The sequence below is a fragment of the Homo sapiens genome, chromosome 12 (assembly GCF_000001405.40).
Source record: "Homo sapiens chromosome 12, GRCh38.p14 Primary Assembly".
NCBI lineage: Eukaryota > Metazoa > Chordata > Mammalia > Primates > Hominidae > Homo > Homo sapiens.
Window position 1 is genome coordinate 131,525,587 of NC_000012.12, and position 8,875 is coordinate 131,534,461.

At 52.3% G+C, this 8,875-nt stretch overlaps 1 long non-coding RNA gene across 1 annotated transcript in view, besides 1 other annotated feature; it reads right to left on the minus strand.

The window, feature by feature from the left end:
- LOC101929974 (uncharacterized) overlaps positions 1 to 4,288 on the minus strand; it is a 76,895-nt gene extending 72,607 nt beyond the window's left edge. Inside the window, exon 1 of the long non-coding RNA NR_187799.1 lies at positions 4,189 to 4,288. This is a non-coding gene — a long non-coding RNA (uncharacterized LOC101929974). The remainder of the gene's footprint in view (positions 1 to 4,188) is intronic.
- Positions 2,466 to 2,965: an enhancer, noted in NCBI's record as "H3K4me1 hESC enhancer chr12:132012597-132013096 (GRCh37/hg19 assembly coordinates)". NCBI's record gives its function as "activates a minimal SCP1, AML or CMV promoter by ChIP-STARR-seq in primed H9 embryonic stem cells {active_cell/tissue: H9 hESC(primed)}" and the evidence as "EXISTENCE:reporter gene assay evidence [ECO:0000049][PMID:30033119]".
- Positions 4,289 to 8,875: the final 4,587 nt, after the last annotated feature.

Genomic DNA, 8,875 nt, shown 5'->3' on the forward strand with positions numbered 1-8,875 from the left:
TTCTTTCTGTCAAGAAATAAAGCAACTGTTTCCACCTAAAGAAAGAAAATGCCTTCAATCCAGAAACTGCACTCTCTAGCAGAGATTGCACAGTGGTGGCCACGGACATCTTGTAGTGTCAGAAGTATTTTTAGGGTCTGAACAGTCTGTTGTAAAATGTCTTTGAAATTGCACCAACTTTTAAGAATCAGATTTCAGGTGAAAACCTGGATTTCTGGCTTTGCTTGAAAATTCAGAAACCTGACAGCACCGAGCCTGTAAGGGGCGGAACGAACCCAGCAGCGGCGGCCGCTGTCCTAGGTCAGGTGGGCTGCGGGTTTGCGTGCCCCCAGCACATACCGCCATTGCCTCCCTGGCCCTGTGGGCCTGCCGGCCGCTGACCAGGGGCTAGAGCATCTCTTCTCCTCCATACACCTGGGGGATGTGGCTCCTCAAGCCCCGCTGAGTTGTGAATCCCTGACACGGTGCAGCTGGGCTCTGGCTGGACCTGCCCCTCCACCAGCTCCCCTGCCGCACTGGCCAGGACCTTGCTGACCAGCAGAGCTCCTGTAGCTGCTGCCTGGCAGGGTGGCAGCTCGGCCTCAGAGCTTTTGAGTGACTGGAGAAGGCGTCCCTCCTTCTGATGGATGCAGCCCCTGGGCCCCTGTAGGGCTGGGAAGTGAAAATCAAGGGACACATGAAGGCCACCCCTGCCCCATGCCAAGTCTCAGGCTTCTGGTGAGCAAGACAGACCGAGTCTCCGGGGTGGGAGCCGCCTCTAGATTTTTCTTTTTGAGACAGGGTCTCACTCTGTCGTCCAGTCTGGAGTGCAGTGGTGCAATCTTGGCTCACTGCAGCCTCCACCTCCTGGGCTCAAGCCATCCTCCCACCTCAGCCTCCCGAGTAGATGGGGCCACAGGCGCGCATCATGACACCTGGCTAATTTTTGTATTTTTTGTAGAGATGGGGTCTCGTCATGTTGCCAGGCTGATCTCAAACTCCCTAGTTCAAGCAATCCACCTGCCTCAAGCTCCCAAAGTGCTGGGATTACAGGCGTGAGCCACCACGCCCGGCCTGCCTTCACATTTTAAATCTCCCTGGTGATGCCCTCTGCACACAAGCCCCAAAACTGTTGTCCCAGGGTTGATGGATATTAACACAGTGTGACCAGGGGGTTCTGGGGGTGAGACCCTGGAGGTAATGTCTCCACAGGAATGACAACAGGGGCTGCAGAAAGTCTGGGAGACACAGGGGTGCTGGGTTCTTGGCACCATACCCCATGCCATGTGGGTGGTGAAGGAGCCAGGCAGCGCCACCTCGGAACCCCAGCTGTCACTGACCACGGTCAGAAGTAAAAGCCAGATGTCAAGGGCAACATCTGAGACAGGGGCCTGTTCTGCCCAGGCTCTGCGGTTCTAGAGGGTTTAAGTCAGTAGAGAGAGGGAGAACAAGGAACAGCAGGCTTGAATACAACTTACCCTTCCCACCGTCTGTCACTAAACGTCCTTTAAAGCCCCTCCCAACTGGCCATGCTCCAGCCAGGAGTTTGATGACTGAGAGGACTGGAGTCTGTTCTGAAGACATTTCATTTCTGCATTTTGGTCGACAAGATGAATGGTTCTCCCAGACCTCCAGGGAGTGCGAGGACCTCTCACTGAAGCCTCTAACACTCTTTAAAGGGCAGGGTTGGTAAAGCAATGGCAGGTGATCCTCACGCAGCCCCCAGGGAGGCGCTGCGGCCCGTGGACCCGAGGAGCTCGACCACACAGCCCCAAAGGTGTGTCCTCCCACAGCTGACAGCGATTCACTGAAAGAAAAATCACTCACGCCTGTAATCCCAGCACTTTAAGATGGTGAAGCAGGAGGATCACTTGAGGCCAGGAGTTCGAGACAGCCTGGGCAACATGGCAGGGCTCCATCTCTATAAAAAATACAAAAATTAGCCAGGTGAGGTGGCAGGCGCCTGTGGTCCCAACTACTTGGGAGGCTGAGGTGGGAGGACCACCTGAGCCCAGGAAGGCAAGGTGAGCCAGTGAGCTGTGATGGCACCACTGCACTCCAGCCTGGGTGACACAGCAAGACCCTGACTCTAAAAAAATAATAATTTAAAAATTTAAAAAAGAGAAATCGGCCTTGCTCAGAGCTCTTTGTAGACGCCACTGATGGAAGCTCAAATTCCACAATCCTTTCCCTTTGCAACAGTCACTGCCTCGCAGGGAGATCCCATCCCAGAGCAGGTACGCGCCTCACCCTAGACGTGCGCACTCCACCCGTTTGGGTCATGACCACATCCAGCTAATCAGAAACTCCTCTGGCCGAGGAAGCTGTCCTTGTTTGTGGCTCCCCCAAAGACTGGCTCAGCCCCTGAGGGTGTGGCCAGGCCCTGACTGATGTGTAAGAGGGAACCTGGGCTGAGAGACGGCTGCAGCCAGGACCCCGCCCAGCTGGTAACCTCAGTGCTGCTCAGGATCCCCTCCCACACAGCCCATTGCTACCTGTGGACCCTCAGAACACAGGGCTCCCAGCAGGAGATGGGGAGTGGAAGGGAGCCCAGTCAATGTGGCCAGGACGGTTGGAGTCATGTGCACGGGGCTGGCACCACCCCAACCTCCCGACATCCCAAACAGCAGCAATGATGACAACCACAATGATGGCCTCTCATCCTCTGTCCCCCTGCAAACTACTTAGCCCAGGAGATGCCAATGAGCCAGACGTGGCCCCTCGTGTGTCTGAGTAGAACTTCAGGGAAGAGGGAGTAAACCCAGTCTCTAAGCGCCTCCCCCTGCTTCACTCCTCATCAACCACCAGGGCCCACAGCCTCAGTCAGCACCACCCATTGTGGAGCAGAGACCGACGAGCTTCCCTATTAGTAGCTGGGAAAGGAGCAGGGGAGGTGGGCGAGGCAGCGCTGGTTTATAACATTTATGAAATACACACGTGGAGGAGGCGTCTTGAGTCCATTTGGGCTGCTATAGTGAAATACCTTAGACTGGGTCATTGGAAACAACAGAGACGTGTTGCTCACAGTTCTGGAGGCCGGGAAGGCCAAGGTCAAGGGGCCAGAGGATTCAATATCTGGTGAGGGTCCTCGGGCGCACCTCCTCACTGCATCTTCCCAGGGAGAAGGGACAGGCAGCTTCAGTAGGCTTTGTATTAGGCCGTTCTCATGCTGCTGTAAAGAAATACCTGAGATTGGGTAATTTATAAAGAAAAGAGGTTGAATTGGCTCACGGTTCCACAGACTGTACAGGAAGCATGGTGGCTTCCGCTTGGCTTCTGGGGAGGCCTCAGGAAACTCACAATCATGGCGGAAGGTGAAGGGGAAGCTGGCATATCACATGAATGGAACACCAAGGGATGGGAGGTGCCACACATTTTTAAACAACCAGATCTCATGAGAACTCTGTCACGAGAGCAGCAGCAAAGAGCTGCTGCTACACCACTCATGAACAATCCACCCCATGATCCCATCACCTCCCACCAGGCCCCACCTCCAACACAGGGGATTATAATTCGACGTGAGATTTGGGAGGGGACACAGATCCTAACCAGATCAGGCCTCTTTTCTAAGGCCACAGATCCCATTCAGAGGGCAGATCCCCATGACTTCACCTCCTCCTGAAAGCATCACTCTTCAAAAGCAGCAGGTCAAAGGGCAAGACCTCCAGAAAACCCAACTGTGCCCCAGTCTAGGCCACACACACAGGCTGGGGTCCTGCCCTATGGCCCATGACTTTGCGCTGGTGATCGGTTCATCCACTGGCAGGGACACACCAAGGGAGGCTTTTCCTGTGGACCACTGTCTGGCCCCGGGTGCAGCCACTTCTGGCCCTGATGCAGGGTTGGTGTGGGAGGCTTTGGTTGGGGGCACAGCCCAGAGACGCCCCCTCGCTCTGACATGGCCCCAAGCCAACCTCAGCTCTGCCCTGACTGCAGGGGCCAGGATGATCAGCATTTTTCATGTATCTGTCAGCCCGTAAGTATATACTATTATTATTTGTCAATTAAAAATAAAATATTTTGGTTTGGGTGGGAGTTGCAAGAAAAAAAATTAACTTTAACTTGAAAATCAGAAAAGAAATGGGATCAGGAACAAAAGACCCACAACAAGCAGAACATCGGTACCGGCAAGGCGCCCTCCTCACTGTCCCTGGGGGTCCTCCGCAGGCCACAGGAAGGGCAAGGGAGCCTGTCAGGCATTCTCCACACCTTCGGGCCTCGCTTTGGGGGTCCAAGGTCCTCAGAGGCACGGATGTGGAACCACGGAGGGGACAGGGCAGGCTCTGCTGCAGGCACCTCTTCTCTTCACAGAGACCCCCCACCCCCACCACGCCCTTTCTGTGGTTGGGTGCTGACCCCACAAGGGGGTCATGTGATGCAGGCCTGACCAATCAAGCGACTCCATCCCGTTTCCAGTGATTGGTTCTGGGACAAACATGTGACCCGCTGTGGCCAATCAGAACCAGACTAGGACTTGCACAGGGAGCGCTGGGAAAGAGCCTCCCTCTCTATCCGGGAACCTCAGAGCTGCAAGTGGGCACCACTCGCTTTCACGTGTCCATGCTGGGAGAGACCTGGGATGGATCAGAGCCCAGATGGGGGCTAGGCAATGGGTCAGAGCCAGGACAGGAGGTGCCACAAAGTGGGGGTATGGGGTCACAAGACCAAGCCGATGCAGAAGATCCACCGAGGCTGAGCAGAAACACCTGCTACCTCCACTGAGCCTGGAACTGGCCGCCCCTGATCCCCCACCTTCTCAGAACTTAAGTCCTTTTACTTATGGGAGTTGAAGCTGATCTGCTATTCTTTAAAAGCTTCCTCTCTGTAATTGTGTCACTTGAAGAATATTACACAAATGGAAGCATTCAGCCTGGAGCATTTTGAGACCAGCCTTTTGCACTATTCTCTTGCAATCTGTCCAAGTTGTTATGTCATCAGATGGGAGCCGTCCTGTTGCTTACAGTCAGGCGAAGCTGTTCTCCTGGTGAACCCACACTTCACGGAACACCTGGATCACACAGAACCATCTGTGACATGAGGAAGCAAGACAAAAACAAGAACAACTGTGATCATATCAGATTACAGACAAAACACGAGCATGTTCCAAACCACAAAACAATCAACGTTCCCTCTATCTTGGCCAGTGTGAGAGACTGCAGCATCAGCACCAAGCACAGCAGCAGCCTTGCTCTGCTCTTCTTAGCTTCAACCTAAGAATTGTTAAGGTGCCTGTCTTCATCCATTTTCTGCTGCTATAACAGAATACCACAGACTGGGACCAGGCACAGTGGCTCGCACCTGTAATCCCAGCACTTTGGGAGGAGGTGAGCGGATCACCTGAGGTCAGGAGTTCAAGACCAGCCTGGCCAACATGGCAAAGCCCTGTCTCTACTAAAAAAAAAAAAAAATTGGCCAGGCATGATGGTGGGTGCCTGCAATCCCAGCTACTAGGGAGGCTGAGGTGGGAGAATCGCTTGAACCCAGGAGGTGGAGGTTGCATTGAGCTGAGATTATGCCACTGCACTCCAGCCTGAGTGACAGAGTGAGACTCTGTCTCAACAACAACAACAAAAAAGGAATACCACAAACTGGGAAATTTATAATAAATAGAAGTATATTGGCTCAGAGTTCTGGAGTCTAGGAAGTCCATTATGAAGGTCCTGGCATCTGGTGAGGACTTTCTTGCTGTATCATAACATGGCAGACAGAGAGAGGAGGTAAACCACCATAACAGCATGAATCCGTTCATGAGCTGAACACCTCTTAACAGCCCCACTTCTCAACGCTATCACGAGTTTTGAAGGGGGCAAACATTCAAACCATAGTAGTGCTTAATCACAGAAATACTCCCCGCTTCCTAATAGCATCTAATTCAGAGAAACTCCACTTTCTTAAACCTCCCCCCAAGTCACCTAACACAGGTCCAAGTCCTACGCTAAGTGCTTTTGATGCTGTCTTACTGAGAGGTCCACACTTCCCCAAGGTATGTGTTCTTCCTCACCGCAATACATCAGTAAACTGAGTTTATTAAAATACACACCAAGGGGCTCTCCCACACTCACACCCTGCCTCCATCTCTCTTGGGAGCACCAGGTAAGGGTCCGGGGAAGAGAGCCCACTAGCATGTGACCCCTTTGTGTCTCTGACCCCTGGAGTTCTGCATCCTCATTCAGGCTCTCAGCGATCTGAGCAGCATTTGAGATGAATTCTCCTCACTGGCTTTTAGGGCATCTGGCACCCCGAGGCCCCCAGGAAAGCACATGCTCACATCATGCCTTTCCTTGGAAACACCTGTCTTTCCTCAGGGACGTTGGGGTGATGTTGCTCCCAGCCTTTCCATCCTATGAAGAACTCTCCTTAAATCTCAAGTTACCATTCTCTGAAGTTAAAATCCATGGGTACAGCAGGTTTCACTGGCTCTGGATGTGTTTATTGAACCTGCTGGACTCAGGTTTTCCGAAATCCCCCGCCTAGAATAAGAGGCAGTTCATGACTAGAATCTCTGCATCCAAACCCACATTTAGCCCCAGCCCATCTGACCTGTCTCCTTCACACCTAACCACACTCAAGACGTCCTCCCTCCATCTTCTACCTGTGAGCTGCCGTCTGCCTCCCCCAGATACAAAGGACTGCAGAGGAGGGTTGTTTCACCTCTATCCTAGGTGAGTCTGTTGCCCCCAGGAGTTTGCAACCTGGGTTGGTGAGTTTATAGAGCAGCCATTACAAATACTAAGTGTGATCAACACCAGATGTGTTGTTATTTGCGTAATGAATATTAGAAGTGGGTATCTATGGGTGAAGTTGTTAACTTATTACAAACCATTACAGGTCTTAGAAAAGCATTTCTGTTAGCGATGAGGGGACTTTCTCATATATGTTGGGACATGCCCCCAACCCTGAATGTGCAGGTAGAGGAACCAGCAGGCCTGGTGGCCTGTGCGCACGGTCCCCACACAGCCCTCTGTTCAGCCTGTGGATCAGAGGATGTCTGAGCATGGTGCTGCCCAAGGAGTAAAGACCCTGCCCCAGGAATTCCCTTTTCCTTCCTCTAGTAAACCCTTCTGGCAGGGGGAAGCTGGGTCAGGTTTAAAGAAGATCAGGATCTTTCTGGGCTTACAGAAGAGTTTGATATTGGCCATTCTGTGTTTGCCTCCTAATAAAGAGTTTAATAAATGTCCGTGTATATGTGGCAGAATTGGTCGAGTTGCCTTATCATAGATTTGTATGCAAACACATAACCGTCACCACTTCAAATTCTCTGGATGTAACTACCATCCACCAGAAATAATCTAATAGTTGTCCAAGAACAGATTTATTCAGGCCCTTTAACAACTGTCTCCACTCCAGGAGGCTTCCTGCAAGGCTGTGGCCAGCGCTTCAGCCGCATCAAACAAGCCAGGAGAAAACTGCATGTGGAGATGGGATTTTGTGGCTCCAGTGAGGGGAGCTTCTCAGAGACTCCTAAACAGGTTTCTGGAACTGGGGGAGGATGGATGGCAGTTTTAGTCTGAAGTGAAATTAACCAGCAAGAGTTGATGGGATGTGACTCCCGGAACTCAGGCAAGAATGCCAGCTCCTTACAATTTCATTTCCAGAGCATCAGAACTGCCAAGAGCCTGGGGTTCCCTAAGGACATCTCATCTCCCTGGATCTGGGAATAGCTTCAGGATGCCTGGGCTCTGGACAGGTGCGTGGCGCAGCCCTCACTAGCACACGACGTGGTGTCTCCACGGGGCTGCCTTAATTTACCCCCCCGGTGACCACTCACTGAGCAGCGGGCCTGCCCCGCGTCACTTCGACCCCAGGTGCTACATCATCTCCCTTTATCCCCTGCTGCCCTCCGAAGTGGGTGCTGTGGCCACTCCATCCTGCAGATGAGGAAGCTGAGGCCCAGAAAGCTCAAGTGACTCCCAGGAGCACTCAGGGGCACACTGCCCCTCTGCCCACATTCCTCCCCGACACCTCCCAGACCAGGAGACACTAAGTGCCTCCGAACAGATGACAGCACCTGTAAGATGCCCAGAGCACGGAGAGGAGAAACCTCTCATCTGAGGATGCACTGTTTAAAAGGAAAATGCACTGCAAGTCTGAATGGTACCTCTGCAAAGGTGCGATTCAAACCAGGCTCTCCGGAGAGTAGGATGCTTCTGCAAAGAGAGAGATTGTGCTTTCCAGCATTTCATGCAGAATTTTAAGTCGACGAGGGGCTTCTGGTAGACACTCTATCCTGTTCAGAAACCTGGTGAGCTTCCTGAGCCTGGCTGGTGCTGCCTGGCCTTCGGGCACGAGGGTGGGAAAAGGCTTGTATTACGGTCAGACCCTGGACTCAGGACTGTGGGTCCAGCATCCCCAAGCTCCAGATGGGATAAAAGGGAACAAATGCCATTGAGCTGTGTTTGAGGAGAACATTCTTCTTCTAATTAGTCCCTCAACTTCTAACAGCATCCAGAATGAAAGGAAGGCCAGAACAGTGGTCTGCGTAACCACGCTTGTTTCACTGTGCGCTCAGACACTGCCTTCTACAAATGCTTCGCCTTCAGGGAACCTGCACCAACGTGGAAAAGGCTGGATTTCTCCCAGTTTCACTATTCAGCTGAAATATTGTCTCATCCTGAAGCTGTGAAAATGCCCAACTTCCTTTCTCGTCTCAAGCACTCTCAATGAGTCCCTTTCATGATTCCACTCAGTGGTTCCTCAGCTTGCCTGAAACTGGCAGCAGCTTCCTAAAGACATTTGAGCTAAAGCTTTTTTTAATTTTCCAAAAAGGAAGGGAAATAATCATTCTAGAGCTTGAACACCTCACCTGGCCCTACCCCCACCATCTCATTCCCTTCCTGATTCAACTATGGACCTATCAGCTGCAGTTTCAAAATGGCAGCACAGACCTCAGACCCCA